The 18,925-nt window shown below is 36.2% G+C and overlaps 1 protein-coding gene across 7 annotated transcripts in view; it reads right to left on the bottom strand.

The window, feature by feature from the left end:
• The window catches only part of MUSK (muscle associated receptor tyrosine kinase), a 137,768-nt gene extending 126,307 nt beyond the window's left edge, over positions 1-11,461 (bottom strand). For all 7 annotated transcript variants that reach the window (XM_005251994.4, XM_005251995.4, XM_017014734.2 and 4 more), the window contains exon 1: positions 11,269-11,461. In XM_005251994.4, coding sequence (XP_005252051.1) covers positions 11,269-11,347 — 79 coding nt within the window. In that variant the 5' untranslated portion in view covers positions 11,348-11,461. The remainder of the gene's footprint in view (positions 1-11,268) is intronic.

Raw genomic sequence — 18,925 nt, 5'->3', positions numbered from 1 at the left:
GAGATTATTCAGCAACAACAATTGATACCAAAAGGCAATAGGCTAATACCTTTACATGACTGCGTAAAAATAACTGTTAGCTTAGAATTACACAGCTAGCTTAGGTAATAATTTTAAACTCAGAACACTTATAAACAAATATTGAGAGTGTTTACCACTCACAGACTTTCTCTGAAATAGTTACTAGAGTAAATAAACTCACTAAGGAATAATTTATACCAGAAAGAAAGGGGTGAGTTATAAAAAACAATAGCATAAATGGTGGTGAAATACCATTGCAATTTTAACACACTATGGAATATTAAAAAATCACAAATTTTTGTGTTTAAAAAGAGTGGAATTAAATTCTAGACAAACAACTATAAGATCAAAGTTCAGGAAAGAAGTTTAAAATGCTAAGTAATTAAAAAATGCTAAGCTCTTTGCCATAAACAAGAGGACAGAAATATTGAATAACTTCAAACAGAAAGAAGCATCTATGGTTAAATGATTATGTTAAAACCTTATTAATGGTTACTACTAAAAAATAAATAAAATTCAAAAATTCCAAAACAACAGAGAAAAAAAGAGGTACCAGAAAGGCTTTATCAATCAAAAACAAAAGCAAAAACAAACAGGAAGAAGAGGAGGAATAAATAAGCCAAGAAAAAGCATGGTTAACAGAAGACATAAAATAATATGGAAGAAACAAGTCCAAATATACCAGAAATCACAGTAAGTGCCAATGGTATAAGCTGACCTATGAAATGACAGATGCTATCAAACACAAAAGACACACTTAAATAAAATAAAACAGAAATGTTAAAAATAAAGGGGAGGGAAAATATGTATAAAGCAAACGATATCCCAAAGAAAGTGACATAGCAATAGTAATATAAGAAAAATGTAATATAGGGGCATATGCATTTATAAGAAAAAAAGAAACATTGCTTAATGATAAAAGGAACAAGCCCTAAAAAGATATGACAATCATGAAACTTAATTATTTAAAAATATGGACTCAAACCCAAAAGTAAAATTATCACAAGAGTACATGGAGAAATGTTTTAACATAGTGTAACCCTTTAAGAGATCTCCTTCAGACACTAATATATCAAACAGAACTACAGTAAAGATATAGAAGATATAAACATCAAAATTAACACTAGATATAATGTACATTTATAAAACAATGAAACAATTACAGAATACATTTTGTAAATGATGCATAGATGAAACATTCAAACATAAAGAAAATATACCAAGCTACATAGGAGATTTTAACCCAGCTCAAAGAATTGATTTTATATAGTCTATATTTTCTAACCATAATAAAATCTGTAAGAAATAGACAATAAAAAGATAGCAAAAAAACAAAAAATCCCAATCCTGTTTATAGATCAAAAGACAAAAATATAATTATATATGTAGTAAAACAGAATAGCAGAATTAGTAAAATTAATTAAACAGATATGCACATCAACTGTAAGCCCTGATAGATGACACATATTTTCAAATGCCCATGAAAATTAAAGCTTAAATAAATTTTAAAAACAGATTATATGTCACATTCTTGGACCACAATTCAACAGAGCTAAACAGTAATGAATATTTAAAGATGAAAATCTAAAGAATTAAGAATTTTAAAAACAAAATTGTTCACATGTAGTAAAGGGTGGGGTAAAATCATCAACAATACTCACAGAAGAAAAAGATTAGATTAGCAAAGAACACTTCTGAAAAAAATATAATGCCCCAAAGTTTTTCAGATAAGTTTTAAAAAACTCTTAAGAAAGAATTAAGTCTCCAGTTACATAAAAGCTACAAGGAGCCAGGTGCAGTGGCTCATACCTGTAATCTCAACACTTTGGGAGGCTGAGGCAGGATGATCCATTGAGCCCAGAAGGATCCACTGAAGGATCCAGGTGTTTTGAGACCAGCCTGGGCAACATGGCAAGACTGCATCTCTACAAAAAATACAAAAATAAAAAAATTAGCCGGGTACAGGTGGCACACATCTGTAGTCCCAGCTACTTGGGAGCCTGAGGCAGGAGGATCACTTGAGCCCAGGAGGTCAAGGCTGCAGTGAGCTGTGATTGCACCACTGCACTCCAGCCTGGGTGACAGAGAAAGACCTTGTCTCAAAAACAAACAAACAAAAGCTATAGGGAATATAAAGTATAGAAAGCTTCTCAAATCAATCTTTGGAATAAAACAATGCTAATGTAAGTCAAGCAGGATGTAAAGCCCTAAAGTAAAATTTTAAAAAGCAAATTAAATTAAATCATAAATTTCAAAATTATTACTATGCATTTAGGCAGAAAAAAAATCCTTGCAAAAATATAAGGATAATTTAATAGAAAAGTCCTTTAAACAGGATTTACTATAGTCATAGTTTAAAAGATACCTATCACAGTCAAAAAGGCAGTAACAGAGTTAACTATCCATTCCCTACTTGAAAACCATTAGTAGAGTCGGAATATAATAGTATTTCTTTAACATGATAAATAATGTTTCTCAACCACTGAACTTGATAAAACTAGGAATAAAAAAAAACTACACAATACATTCACACACATTCACAGGATGATTCAAATTTGGCTTGGTGCAGTGGAGAGAGAAGAGTGTTCCAGGCAGAGGAAACGGTACCCGTGAAAGCCTGAAGACGGAGGGAGGCTGGTGCCCTAAGCCAATTAGAAGAAAACACAAACATTTATAAAAGATGGGTGGGAGAATGAAGAGTTTAGAAAAGAGACTGAGAGGAAGAAATCAGAGTTGTAAGCAAAGCCAGTGGAGGCTATTGGCAGAGCCCAAGAGTAGCACACGTTTCACAAAAGAGGGAGAATCAAATGCTGCCGAGACGTTAAGTTAAATAAGGACCTAAAAGTGCCCACTGAGTTTCCTGATGAGGAGGTCATGTTGATTTTGGTGCTTGCAGATTTGGCGGAAGCCAGATTGCAGTGGTGGGGGTTAGGTTGTGATAAGGAAGTGGAAACTAAGAGGAGAGGGAAGACATCTTTTTGCAGCAGAGTTTAACAATAAAAGGGAAGAAAGGGGCTGCATGGTGCTGGAGGTGAGTATGGTGACAAGAGTGGGTTTAAATGCTGACTGGAAGCACCTAGTAGAAGCAAAAATGTAGGACATTGGAGAAAGACAGGAGATAATTGAGGGAAATAGGTCCCTGAGAAAGCAGATTTATGTGGGGCTCAGAGGAAGAAAGACGGGTTAACCACGGATAGGAAGAGAAAGTCCTCTTAAAGCACAGTGAGGGAGAAGGAGGACAAGATGGATGCAGAGAGGTAGGTTTTTCCCCTTTGCTGGTAGGCAGCTGAAGAGAGAGCTTCTTATTTAAATGCTTCTCTTTCCTCAATGAAATAACAGCCTCTGAAATTTGTAAAGATACATGCACACCTATGTTCACTGCAGCACTATTCACAATAGCAAAGACATGGAAGCAACCCAAGTGACCATCAATGATAGACTGGATAAAGAAAATGTGATACATATACACCATGGAATACTATGCAGCCATAAAAAGGAATGAGATTATGTCCTTTGCAGGGACATGGATAGAGCTGGAAGCCATTCTCTTCAGCAAACTAATGCAGGAACAGAAAAGCAAACACCACGTTTTCACTTATAAGTGGGAACTGAACAATGAGAACACATGGACACAGGGAAGGGAACAACACACACTGGGGCCTGTCAGCAGGTGGGATTGGGGGAGGGAGAGCATTATGAAAAATAGCTAATACATGCTGAGCCCAGTTATTTAGGTGATGGGTGACAGGTGCAGCAAACCACCATGGCACACGTTTACCTATGTAACAAAACTGCACATCCTGCACTTGTACCCCGGAACTTAAAATTTACAAAATAAAATTACATACACATACACACACATATATAATATATAATATATAATATATGTGTGTGTATGTGTATATATACAACATATATACACTTACATATACACACACACATATATGAGAGAAAGAGACTGAAAGAATGAATAGCAAAATGCTAAGAGCACTTATCCCTTGCTATGAGCATTATGTGTAATTTTATATTTTTGTTTTTCTGTATCTTACAGGATTTTTTAAAAAAATGAATACATATTGCTTTCATAATAGAAAAAAATTGTAGCAGATAGAATGCCAAAGAAGTGTTAATTTTCAAAATGCAATGGAGGCAAACTTATAATTCATAAAGTTTGAGAAAGTCAATCTCAATAAAAAGTTATTTTCTAAACAACGAATGAATGAAATAAGCAATTAATAGTATAATCATCTAGATATTGAGAGATAAAGAACAAAAACAATATTTTATTAAGCTTGTGGAGTGTGGTTAACAATGAGCCCAAAGGTTAATTGATGATGTTGAATGCTTTTACTGTTTAAAAAGAAAGACTAGGCCAGGTGCGGTGGCTCACGCCTGTAATCCGAGCACTTTGGGAGGCCGAGGCGGGGAGGACCACGAGTTCAAGAGATTCCTGGCCAACATGGTGAAATCCCATCTCTACTAAAAATACAAAAATTAGCTGGGTGTGGTGGTGCAGGCCTGTAATCCCAGCTACTCGGGAGGCTGAGGCAGGAGAATCACTTGAACCCAGGAGGTGGAGATTGCAGTGAGCCGAGACCGCACCGCTGCACTCCAGCCTGGGCAACAGAGTGAGACTCAGTCCCAAAAAAAAAAAAAAAAAAAAAAAAAGGGAAGACTATTGAGCAACTACACATTAAGAGGCAATGTAGCGGCCAGGCACGGTGGCTCACGCCTGTAATCCTAGCACTTTGAGAGGCCGAGGCGGGCGGATCACGAGGTCAGGAGATCGAGACCATCCTGGCTAACAGGGTGAAACCCCATCTCTACTAAAAATACAAAAAATTAGCCGGGCGTGGTGGCGGGTGCCTGTAGTCCCAGCAACTCGGGAGGCTGAGGCAGGAGAATGGCGTGAACCAGGGAGGCGGAGCTTGTAATGAGCTGAGATCGCGACACTGCACTCCAGCCTGGGCGACAGTGCAAGACTCTGTCTCAAAAAAAAAAAAAAAAAAAAAAAAGAGGCAATGTGGCACAGGACTTGAATTCACATCCCAGCTCCATCACTTACCGACTCTGCAAGTCACTTAACCACACTTAACCTCAGTGTCTCAGCTATAGACGGAGATAATGTATAGCCTCCACATAACTTGTCACAAGGAATAAATAAATGGAAACCATTTAAAATTGTCCTTGGTCCACATGGAGCACTGTGCAAATGTTACTTGATTCTATAATTTAGAAAAAGAAACCCAGGCTGTTTGATTGTTTTCCTTGTCTTTATTACATTCAAATGTATTATACCGTTAATATTTTATCTCAGGCTGGGTGTGGTTGGTGGCTCATGTCTGTAATCCCAGCACTTTTGAGGCCGAGGTGGGAGGATCACTTGAGCCTAGGAGTTTGAGACCAGGCTGGGCAGCACAGAGAAACCACATCTCTACAAAAAATTTAAAAATTAGCCGGCATGGTGGCACACACTTTGTAATCCCAGCTACTTGGGAAGAAGCTGAGGTGGGAGGATCAACTGAGCCTAGGAGTTCAAAGTTTCAGTGAGCTGTGATTGCACCTCTGTACTCCAGCCTGTGTGACAGAGCAAGACTCTATCTCTAAAATAATAATAATATCATCATCATCATCATCATCATCTCTGGGAATCTATCCTAAGGAAATAATCTCACATATAGAAAGGCATATAGGTGACTTTTACTGCAGAAAACAGATCAATTGTACTAAATTCTATTAATCGTAGTCAAGTGGGAGAAGATTGAGGCACACAAGTTTTGTCTTCCGCAGGTTTGCAAGAGCCACTTGGTAATTTTTTAGGAATTTTGAGAGGTGATTGTTATATACAATCATTATTAAAAACTAAGTTGTATACATTTATAATCAAATATATTAAAAACAAAGTATTAATACTTGAAATTCCCAATGATTTAACTACATTTTATTATTATATAAGTTCTTGAGGTTATCTGTAATGTGTCTGTGTGGTAGAAATAATATATGAAGGATGCTACTACACATGCTATTTCCCAACTCAGTGCTCATTATTTGATAGTAGCTTGAGACTGGCCACAGACACAATAGAGTTTTTTACTATAGAGTATTTTACTGCAGAAATAAACAAGAGCAACAAATCCACGTCTTTTTTTTTCTCAGTGAGGTGAATATTAAACATATACTAGCACACTGTTATCTAAACAGAATATTATTTAGTCACCACACATGACGTTTGGAAGATTACTAATAATATAGAATATGCTCATGCTTTAGTGCTAAGTAAAAATAGCAGGCAGCACAATGTTAATAAGGACTTTAAAAATATGTAGAAAAAAATGGAAGAAAATATGCCAATGTGTTAATAGTCCTGGAAGTATGGATGACTTCTTCTGTCTTAAACTTTATGTATTTTGCATTTTCAAAATCAATCTTAAATACCATGTGCTACTTTTATAAGAGAGAAACTTTATGCACTAGTGTTATTTTCACTCAATACACAGATGCAGAAGTGGCAGAGGTAATAGACTTACTATTAATGTTATCTTTCCAATGAGGTGACACACTGGAGATGTCACATGAACTGTTGAGATCAGTTAAGATCAAAGAAGTGAGTCTTAGAATGTCTTGGAAAATAGACATGGAGAAATATGGAAGGTGTTACTAAGAACTTTATTAAGTTAACACCTTCCCATAAGATTCAGTGACATAACAGTCTTGTGTGAAGTTTGACTGTTTTTACTAATATTAGCATCTAAAAGTGATTAAGAATCTGGTATGTGCCATGCATTATACTTTTTATTCATTATCTTTTTATTTAACACAAAAAAGGTAGATACTATTAATATTTCCACTTGCAGACCAGAAATGGGGACTAAAAATGGTTGCACAACTTGTCTACATATCACAAAAATAGGAAGTGATAGAGCTGAACTAGCTGAACTTCAGGGTTAAAGTTGGTTTATACTTCCTTTCTCTAAGACATACTGCATCTTCAAGATCATACTGATTATGCACAGATGGATAAGAGAAGATGTACATCAATATCAGTTTCTACACACAGAATGCCAAGTCCACATTGTCCATATTTCCAGTTATCCAAATCTGCTTTCCGGTTTTCACTGACACAATCACATGGATCAGTTGTATTTAATGATATTTGTTGACTCAGCACACTGTCTCTTGTTTACTTTCATTCTACTATCCAGCTTTCATCTCAGCCAGAGCTCGTTTAAACTAGGGCACTATTTCTTCTCTCAATCCAAGGACTACATGAATAACAAATACATGAAAATGAACACAATCCTTTTCTGGACCCGAAGAAAAGCTTGACTTGGATATCAACTGCTTGATGAGAAGGACATGACATTACCTTTCCTTTGTATTTTATGGGCTCTCGCATATGACTATTGACTTACCAACTTTTGATTGATTATTTTTGGATTGACATGACCCAATGATTGGGTACATAAAGAAACAAGGTGTATTTGCTCCTTTCTATTTTAGTAAAATTAGGGCTCTGACTTGGAAAATATTCATGTTTCTCTAACATTATGAATGCAGTATTTTTTTTTTAGTACAACAAAACACTTTGGGGTTGGTTTAAACTTTTTAACCTTCTCTTCCAAGCATTAAATATCCTTGTTTTACTTTCTTCCTGATCCAATCTGTATCTCATGGTACGCTGCCATATAACTCCAACTCCTTTACTCTCTAGTTCTTTAGCTGTACTGACCCTGGAAAGTGCCAATCCTGAATTAATCCAGCCATCTGTCCTCCCTACCCTATGTTCACATAGCACTGCTGGGTATAGTGCAGTAAATGTTCAGGTCAGGGGCACTATAAAGAAAGCTGCAGTTCCTAGCCCCAGCTGGGTCTTCAGCATGGCCCATGTGATCCTCTCATCTTCCTGAATAGAGCCACTCCTTTCAGGCCCTCTTTCCACCCCTCACTTGTTACTCTCCTTCAACGACATCAGGTTTTATTTCACTGAGAAGCTGCCTACTTCATTTACCTTTGGAAATAAGGTAGAGTTTAAAGAGATCTTGAAATTTCTGCTCCTTCCTTCTTTTCTTTAAGGTCAATAATATTTGAAGCAACTCTGTTTACTCAAACATGCAATGAGTAACTCTTTCAATGCATGTCAATATAAAATATTCATCCAGGACTGTGTGTCCTGGATTTCAATGACAGCTGTGTCAGTCATGACTTAGTCATATGTCAAATCTGTGAATCCTATCCTTATATACATACAATTTAAAAGAGGAGGTTATTCAAATCTATCTAAAGATAAAATCACGTACGCTCAAACACTTCAACGTATTGTAGTAAGTCGGGTGTTTTGAAAGTGAGACTTTTGATAGTTCTTTGTGCATATTAAGCAAATCCAGAGCTGCTTACATGAACTCTTATGCTCCTGCAGAATCTAACATTGCACCATACATTTAATACTCCCTAATAAAGCATTAAATGTTATTGATGTATGTAGTTAAGCCAATTATCCAGTGGAACATTGGCTACTTTCATAAATGACAGTTTGTGAAATTCTACTACTTGGGTTATGGCACTGAATTCATCATTGAAAATATCACTAGTTGAAATGATTCAGAAAGACAATGATTCTTCCCCTTATCATTGGGCATTAGTAGCCTTAATTAAACTAAAATGAAAACTATGAACAATTAATTCTACAAAGTTGGATATTAATTTTTATCAAAAAATGATGTGCAGAAAGTCAGAAAATAATCCACTGAATACTTTTGTGTTATTTTAAATATGTCAATTTATTAGCTAATACATATTGTACAATTTCCTTTATGCATTCATGATAAAGGACTTAGGAAGAAGTATATTATCTAAAAAACTCTTTTTGTTATTACCGTCTGCCAAGAATAGGGAAAACAGTAGTTTTCTAGAAATAGTAGAAATAGTTTGGGTGGGCCATTTTTATTAGTTTCAGTAGTATAATGGCTGGCGCAGTGGCTCATGCCTGTAATCCCAGCACTTTGGGAGGCCGAGGCAGGCAGATCACGAGGTCAAGAGATGGAGACCATCTTGGCCAACATGGTGAAACCCTGTCTCTACTAAAAATATAAAAATTAGCCGAGTGTGGTGGCTTGCACCTGTAGTCCCAGGTATTTGCGAGTCTGAGGCAGGAGTATAGCTTGAACCTGGGAGGAGGAGGTTGCAGTGAGCTGAGATCACACCACTGCACTGCAGCCTGGCAACAGAACGAGACTCTGTCTCAAATAATAATAATAATAATGAAAATAATAAAATTTTATTGTGGTTCTTTTCTACCAATGTATTCCTCACCCTTCAACATTTAAAATTTTAAGGATTATGCTTTCATGATATTAGTTATTCTCAGAACTGCTGTATGTAGTAAATAAATGTTTGTTCTCCTAGACATGGTATTTTGGCTAAGAGTGATGTTAAACTCATACTAATTTAGATTTTACAGTACAATAGACTGAGAAAAAATTGCTTAAATTTTTTGATTTTAAAACCTAATTCTAGTAGTAAATAAATTATAAGAAATGAAATTGGGTGAATGATCTGGTTAGTTTATTTAAAAGTCAGGGTGTTTGGCTTTGTTATCTCTATGCCACTATATTTCAATATTTTCAAAATAGAGATAGTGTGCATTTGAATTAAGGGCTTTATTTGTAAAGTTTGGAAATGAAAATCAATTCTTTCTAGAATATAAATTAAGACTTATTCAGATAGAGAGATTTTGGGGGTTTTGTGTGTGTGTACAACAAATCCTTATTTGAATCATCAAAATCAATTGTCCTGCTCTTTATAAGACTGTATTTTAGTATTTAACCCTATCATTTTTATGTAACTGCGTGGTTTAGAAATATACAAATAATACTTAAGACAACCCATACGTTCAAACATCCAGGTGGGGCCTTACCGGACATCCGTTGTTTGATCAGGAAGTATTAAAATAATCTGAAGCCAATGTTAAGTCTTTCTGACTATTATTAGCTGTTTGAAAAGATCTAGAGTCTCTTTTATCTGTAGATGCCTTAAAGTATTCATTAGAAATTAAATGTTTAAATACATTTGAAGATACCATTATACTCAAGTAAAATGGAAAAAGAGAAGCAACAAAATGAAACAAAAAAATCTGTGAAATCAGATTGTTTGTGAAGAAACCCGCATCTTATTTGCATGTGAACTTTGACCTTATGGCTCCAGAATTTTTAGTGAACCAGAAAATCTAAAGATACATTTTGCATCTATATACAGATACCACCTTCATTTATCTACACAATACAAACTGTTTCAGTGCTTTGATTAATATAAAGGGAAAATGATTAATTTGAACATGTCCTGAAGCAAAAATCTCTTTTTACTCTATGGTATAACATTAAATTTGAAAACTCTTGTATTGATACCACTCGATCTGCTTTCTCATGTCTTTTTAAAAAAAGATTTCAGTGATACCCTTAGTCACTTTGCAAATCACAGACTTTCCAGTCTTTCTGATTTCAAATACGCTAGTCCCAGTTTCATAATACACTGGCCAGAAACTATATCACTGGACATTCTTGCTACTGCAACAGGTGTTTGTCAGTTTCTTAAGTTGCTTTCCTTTCCCCTGAGGTGGTGTTATTTCCGGTACATTCCAAAGGCTCTGAAAAAAACTTTTGCAGTCTCTTGCCAAGCCAAATCATGACTCCAGCCTCAAAGTTATTTAAAATCCATTGTCTTCCGGGTTTGTTACACAGGCAAATTGTGTACGTCTTTCTGTATTTCCAATTTTTAGCAACTAAAATATTTATTAAGAGTTTGGCAAAGCTAAAACTGAAAATAAAAGTGATTTTTATTCAGAAGCAAATGCTCTGGATGTCTGAGAATGGGGTTGATTCTATTCCTGGCAAACCTGATGCGAAAAGGTTGTCATCATCCACTTAGACCACCCTGAAATTTGACATTCGCATAAACAAAATAGACCTTGATAACTTGCAGTGTACATGCTTATGTTTTGCCCTAGAAGTCAGAGCTCTGCATGCACTATGTGGCTAAGCCTTTTATTGCAGAACTTCGGAGTAAAATATTGGTAGAGAGACCATCAACCAATTGCTTATGTATATAATTTCCTCCCTCATCATACATTTCACCCTTACTTCTTCAAGTAAAACCCAAGCCCACCATACTATAAATCAGTCTTGGTCATATCTCATATACACACACTTTACAACCATGACAAGACAACAAGAAGACACGATTGCTCAAACCAACCTTTTGGAAGTTTCTCAGTTCCGCTGAAGGCAACCAGAGTAAGAATATGTACCAGTGGAATGTTGACGAGCTCTCTCATGATTAATCCAGGCTCACGCAGGACGAAGTTCCTTCTGGACAACGCAAGGAAAATGGCTCCACAGTTTACATTTTAAAGCATACTTTGTTGCAAAAGGGTTGTCTGCTAATGACTGTTTGTGTCAGCAGCTCCACAGGCTCTAAGTATAATCAGGAATTCTCAGACTTGGCTGCAATGATGGACACAGCCAGCTGGTGAGCATCCACGTAGGCCAGTAATGCAAGTGTAGGGCTGGAGGAACAAGGGCAAGAAAATCCCTTTAGAATCCCTTTTAAGACAGTGGCAGAAGGACAATACCAGATGCCTTTTGCAACCATCGCTGTATTCCCAGAGGTATAGGTGTCCTGACCTTCGAATTCAGCACCCCACCTCTCCCGGACTCAAACCAGAAATCTGGGTCTATTCAGTCTTCAGTCCTCCCCATCTCTCACCCCACCCCCACTCCCACATTCAGCCCATTCCAATTCCTACAGATTTTATCAACCAAATAGTCCTTGTACCTTCTCTCTGTCTTGGGTCTTAACCATTCTATATCTTTTTTCAGATAGTCCCTCCTGCTCAAAAGCCTTTAGGGGCTCATCATCACATAAAAATATATTTAAACCTGCCTAATCTGCCTAATATGACAGGCTTTACTGGAATCTGCATGCTTTGTTGTATGTTAGTATTGTCTTTTACGATCCTGTTTTTGTTTTTTGTTTTTTTTTTTTTTCAGAGTCAGGGTCTTGCTCTGTTGCCCAGGCTGGAGTGCAATGGGGTAATCATAGCTCACTGCAACCTCAGCCTCCTGGACTCAAGTGATCCTTTCAGAGTAGCTAGGACTACAGGCACTGCCACTACAGCAGGCTAATTTATTTTTATTTTTTGGAGAGATGTGGTCAGGCTATGTTACCCAGGCTGGTCTCAAACTGCTGGCCTCAAATGATGATTCCACCTCGGCCTCTCAAAGTGCTGGGAATGCAGGCGTGAGCTACTGTGCCCAGCCTCATTCAGCTTCCTTTATTCAACAACCTGCTGATGGTTCCCTGTATACAGCTTTCCTACCTCCATGAATTGCTCATACTGTTTGCTTCTCTTGGAATACTACTCCCCTCCTTTCCACTCAGTTCACACATCTCTCAGCTTGATCATCCTCTCCTCCTGGGAGAAAAATTCCATATCTTCCCAAAGCTGTGTTACGTTTGTCTTCTCTGGGTTTCCATAATATACTGTGCATATCTCTACCATTGCAATGACCATATTGTTTTGATTTTTTCCCCTTTGTGTTGGTGTCTTCTTCATTCTTTGGCCTCGTGAGTTCATTTATAGAACTTTAGAGTCAGGTAGTGTGATGCCGCCAGCTTTGTTCTTTTTGCTTAGGATTGCCTTGGCTATATGGGCTCTTTTTTGGTTCCATATGAAATTTAAAGTAGTTTTTTCTAATTCTGTGAAGAAAGTCAATGGTAGCTTGATGGGGATAGCATTGAATCTATAAATTACCTTGGGCAGTACAGCCATTTTCACAATATTGATTCTTCCTATCATGAGCATGGAATGTTTTTCCATTTATTTGTGTCCTCTTTTATTCCCTTGAGCAGTGGTTTGTAGTTCTCCTTGAAGAGGTCCTTCATATCCCTTGTAAGTTGGATTCCTAGGTATTTTATTCTCTTTGTAGCAATTGTGAATGGGAGTTCACTCATGATTTGGCTCTCTGTTTGTCTGTTATTGGTATATAGGAATCTTGTGATCTTTGCACATTGATTTTGTATCCTGGGACTTTGCTGAAGTTGCTTATCAGCTTAAGGAGATTTGGGGCTGAGATGATGGGGTTTTCTAAATATACAATCATGTCATCTGCAAACAGAGACAATTTGACTTTCTCTCTTCCTATTTGAATACGCTTTATTTCTTTCTCTTGCCTGATTGCCCTGGCCAGAACTTCCAATAGTAGGTTGAATACGAGTGGTGAGAGAGGGCATCCTTGTCTCGTGCCAGTTTTCAAAGGGAATACTTCCAGCTTTTTCTCATTCAGTGTGACATTGGCTGTGGGTTTGTCATAAATAGCTCATTTTTTTTCGATGGGTTCCATCAATACCTAGTTTATTGAGAGTTTTTAGCATAAAGGGGTGTTAAATTTTATTGAAAGCCTTTTCTGCATCTATTGAGATAATCATGTGGTTTTTGTCACTGGTTCTGTTTATGTGATGGATTACATTTATTGATTTGCATATGTTTAACCAGCCTTGCATCCCAGGGATGAAGCCAACTTGATCGTGGTGGGTAAGCTTTTTGATGTGCTGTTGGATTCAGTTTGCCAGTATTTTATTGAGAATTTTCACATCAATATTCATCAGGGATATTGGCCTGAAATTTTCTGTTTTTGGTTGTGCCTCTGCCAGGTTTTGGTATCAGGATGATGCTGGACTCATAAAATTAGTTAGAGAGGATTCCCTCTTTTTCTATTGATTGGAATAGTTTCAGAAGGAATGGTACCAGCTCCTCTTTGTACCTCTGGTAGAATTCGGCTGTGAATCCGTCTGGTCCTGGATTTTTTTTTTTTTTTTTTTTTTTTTGCTCGGTAGGCTATTAATTACTGCCTCAATTTCAGAACTTCTTATTGGTATATTCAGGGATTCAGCTTCTTCCTGGTTTGCCAAAACAGCATGGTACTGGTACCAAAACAGATATATAGACCAATGGAACAGAACAGAGGCCTAAGAAATAATGCCACACATCTACAACCATCTGATCTTTGACAAACCTGACAAAAACAAGCAGTAGGGAAAGGATTCCCTATTTAATAAATGGTGTTGGGAAAACTGGCTAGCCATATGCGGAAAACTGGAACTGGACCCCTTCCTTATATCTCATACAAAAATTAACTCAAGATGGATTAAATACTTAAATGTAAAACCTAAAACCATAAAAACCCTAGAAGAAAACCTAGGCAATACCATTCAGGACATAGGCATGGGCAAAGACTTCATGACTAAAACCCCAAAAGCAATGGCAACAAAAGTCAAAATTGACAAATGGGACCTAATTAAACTAAAGACCATCTGCTCAGCAAAAGGAACTATCATTAGAGTGAGCAGGCAACCTACAGAGTGGGAGAAAATTTTTGCAATCTATCCATCTGACAAAGGGCTAATATCCAGAATCTACAAAGAACTTAAACAAATTTACAAGAAAAAAACAAACAACCCCATCAAAAAGTGGGCGAAGGATATGAACAGACACTTCTCAAAATAAGACATTTATGCAGCCAACAAACATATGAAATAAAGCTCATCATTATTGGTCATTAGAGAAATGCAAATCAAAACCACAATGAGATACCATCTCATGCCTGTTAGAGTGGCAATCATTAAAAAGTCAGGAAGCAACCGATGCTGGAGAGAATGTGGAAAAATAGGAATGCTTTTACACTGTTTGTGGGAGTGTAAATTAGTTCAACCATTGTGGGAGACAGTGTGGCAATTCTTCAAGGATTAGAACCAGAAATACCATTTGACCCAGCAATCTCATTACTGGGTATATACCCAAAGGACTATAAATCATTCTACTATAAAGACACATGCACATATATGTTTATTTCAGCACTATTCACAATGGCAAAGACTTGGAACCAACCCAAATGCCAATCAATGATAGACTAGATAAAGAAAATGTGGCACATATACACTACGGAATACTATGCAGCCATAAAAAACAATGAGTTTATATCCTTTGCAGGGACATGGATGAAGCTGGAAACCATCATTCTCAGCAAACTAATACAGGAACAGAAAACCAAACACCACATGTTCTCACTCATAAGTGGGAGCTAACAATGAGAACACATGGACACAGGGAGGGGAGAATCACATACTGGGGCCTGTCAAGGGGTGGGGGGCTAGGGGAGGGATAGCATTAGGAGAAATGCCTAATGTAGATGATGGGTTGATGGATACAGCAAACCACCATGGCACATGTATACCTGTGTAACAAACCTACACGTTTTGCACATGTATCCCAGAACTTAAAGTATAATAAAAAAATTAAATAAATAAATCAGGTTCTTCTAAAAAAAAGAATAAATATTAATATTGCTGTGTTCTTAATGATTTTCTTTTTGAATAAAAAAGCACATACAATTATGTAGAGTACATAATAGTTGATAATGATAATAAATGACCATGTTGCTGGTTTTTTTAATGTACTATATTTTTATTATTATTTTACTGTGTATACCCTGTACTTATTTAAAAACATAAAAAATAAAAATAAATAAAAAATTGATTGTAAAACAGCCTCAGGCAGGTATTCTAGAAGAATACATTGTTACCATAGGAGATGGCAGCTCCATGTGTGTTATTGCCCCTGAGGACCTTCCAGTAGGACAAGCTGTTGAAAGGCAGTGATGTTTTGATCCTGACCCTGTGTAGGCCAAGGCTATTGTGTGTTTTTGTCTTAGTGTTTAACAAAAAAAGTTTAGAAAGTAAAAAATAAAAATAAAATTTTAAGATAGAAAAGAGCTTAAGGATATGAAGAAAAACTATTTTTGTATAACTGTACAATATATTTGTGTTTCAAACAGAGTATTATTACAAAAGAGTCAAAAAGATTACAAATTTTAAAAGTTTATAAAATAAAATAGTTGTGGTAAGCTAAGGTTAATTTATTATTAAAGAAAGAAAAATATTTTAAAAATAAATTTAGCGTAGTCTAAGTGTACAGTATTTATAAAGTTTACAGCAGTGTACAGTAATGTCCTAGGCCTTCACATTCACACATCACTCACTCACTGACTTACCCAGAGCAAACTTCAGTGCTGAAATCTTCGTTCATGGTAAGTGCCCAATGCAGGTGTACCATTTTTATCTTTTATACTGTATTTTTACTGTATGTTTTCTATGTTTAGATACACAAATACGTACCATTGTGCTACAATTGCCTACAGTATTCAGTGTAGTAACATGCTGACAGGTTTGTAGCCTACGGGCAATAGGCTATCCATACAGCCTAGGTGTGCAGTGGGCTATACCATCAAGGTTTCTGTAAGTATACTCTATGATGTTCACACAATAACAAAATGAACTATGGATGCATTTCTCAGAACATATCCCTGATGTTAAGTGATAAATGACTGTATAATATAAAGCTATAGTACTGGCATAGAAACACACATATAGACTAATGGAACAGAATACAGAAACTAGAAATAAATCTCTGCCTTTATGATCAAGTGATTTTTAATAACAATGCCAAGAATACACAAAAATAGTCTCTTCAATAAATTGTTTTGGGACAACTGGATAGCCACATGCAGAAGAATAAAATTAGGCCCTTATTTTATGTAAAAATCAACTCAAAGTGGATTCGAGACTTAAATGTAAGAATGGAAACTAAAACTGCTAGAATATATAGGGAAAAAGCTTTATGACATTGGTCTGGGCAATGATTTTTTGGATGTGACCCCAAAAGCACAGGCAATAAAAAGCAAAAATAGACCAATGAGATTACATTAAACAGAAGAGCCTCTGCACAGCAAAGGAAACAATCAACAGAGTAAAGGCACTATCTACAGAATGGGAGAAAATATTTGCAAACCATACACCTGATGAGGTTAATATCCAAAATATATAAGGAATTCAGACAATTCAATAGCAAAAAAAAAAAAAAAGACAAATAACCCAATTTTAAAATGGGCAAAGAAGTCAAGCACAGTGGCACACCCCTTTAGTCCCAGCTACTCGGGATGCTGAGCCTAGGCGTTCAAGGCCAGCATGGGCAACATAGCAAGACCTCATTCACTTAAAGAAAAGTGGGAAAAGGATTTGAATAGACATTTCTTAAAAGACATACAAATGGCCAACAGGTATATGAAAACATGCTTAAAATCATTAATTATCAGGGAAATACAAATCAAAACCACAATGAAATATTATCTCACTCCAGTTAGAATGGCTATTTTCAAAAAGATGAAAGGTAACAGGTGTTGGTGAGGATGTGGACAGAAGGGAACCCTGTATACTGTTAGTGGGAATGTAAATTAGTACAGCCATTATGGAAAGCAGTGGGGAGGTTTACCAGAAATCTAAAAAGAAAACTACCATATAATAGAGCAATCCCACTACTGGATATATATTCAAAGGAAATGTAATCAGTATGAATCAGTATGTCAAAGAGATATCTGTATTCCCATGTTCACTACAGCATTATTCACAATAACCAAAGTATGGAATCAACCTACATATTCATGACTAGATAAATAAATAACAAAAATGTGGTACTATATATATATATATATATATATATATACACACATATATATGTGTGTGTGTATATATATACACAATGGGATACTATTCAGCCTTTAAAAAGAAGAAAATCCTGTGATTTGGGATAATATAAATGAACCTAGAGGACATTATGTTATGTGAAATAGCCAAACACAGAAAGACAAACACCACATGGTCTCACTTGTCTGTGGAATCTGAAAAAGTTGAAATCATAGAAGTAGAGAGAATGGTGATTACAAGGGACTGGGGGAGGGGAAATGGGTATTGGGGAGATGTTGGTGAAAGGATGCAAAATTGCAGTTAGGAGGAATAAAAAATAATGATTATGAATTTTTGGGCACCTAATTATCCTGGTGTTTCAGGGCCTAAGATATTGGGCAAGTAAGTTTGGGGTTTTGTTTCTTTCTTAACAAAAAGGAGACTACACTTCCCTCTCCACCGGAACCTCGATTTCACATCTACCCTATACACAGCCTTAGTTCATGCCATCTTTCTTAGAGCTGGAGATCTAGATAGTGAAGGGGAGCTACTGGTAGTGGGTTTTCATTTACAACTCAGTTTCTCCAACCTGCTCCTAGTGCAGTTTGCGAAGGAGAAAAATAGCAAACCATAGTTTTATCAGAACTGTTGTCTCCTGAGATAGTGTAGCCTATACACTTAAGGTAATCTTAATACAATTCCAATCGTATTTTGGAAACTAGGAAGCTGATTTTAGAACATATATACAGAAACAAAGTAAGCAAAAATAATCAGGGAAAATGTGGGAAAAAAAGCTTTTTCCATTTATATTCTAGTAGTTTCAGTTTCCATTCTTACGTTTAAGTCTCAAATCCATTTTGAGTTGATTTTTATATAAAATAAGGGCCTAATTTTATTCTCTGCATGTGGCTATCCAGTTGTCCCAACACAATTTTATTGAAGAGACTATTTTTGTGTATTCTTGGCATCGTTATAAAAATAAGGAATCACTTGCCTACCAAGTGTTAAAATGTATTGTAAAGGTTTAATAATAGCTTAATGTAATGACATTAAAATCCTGTGGTATGAGGCTATAAGTAGAAGGTCAGTGCACACTGAATGAATGATAAAGACGGCATTTTAAATTAGTGAGGAAAGATGACTTATTAGGTGAATTTGGTAGCCATTTTAAAAAATCAATTACATCTGTACCTCATATATTACGCCAAAATAAAATTTGGGATTTTAAAAGTACCAGAAAAAACATGTGTATGAGAGAGAAGGAATATATCTATTAGATCTATAGCTTTACATATATTTTCCCAAACATATGAAAATACTGGCCAATTATTTTCAC

This window comes from Homo sapiens, chromosome 9 (assembly GCF_000001405.40).
Source record: "Homo sapiens chromosome 9, GRCh38.p14 Primary Assembly".
Classification (NCBI taxonomy): Eukaryota; Metazoa; Chordata; class Mammalia; order Primates; family Hominidae; genus Homo; species Homo sapiens.
Note: the sequence above shows the minus strand (reverse complement) of the source record. Positions and strands in the feature narration are given on the sequence as shown.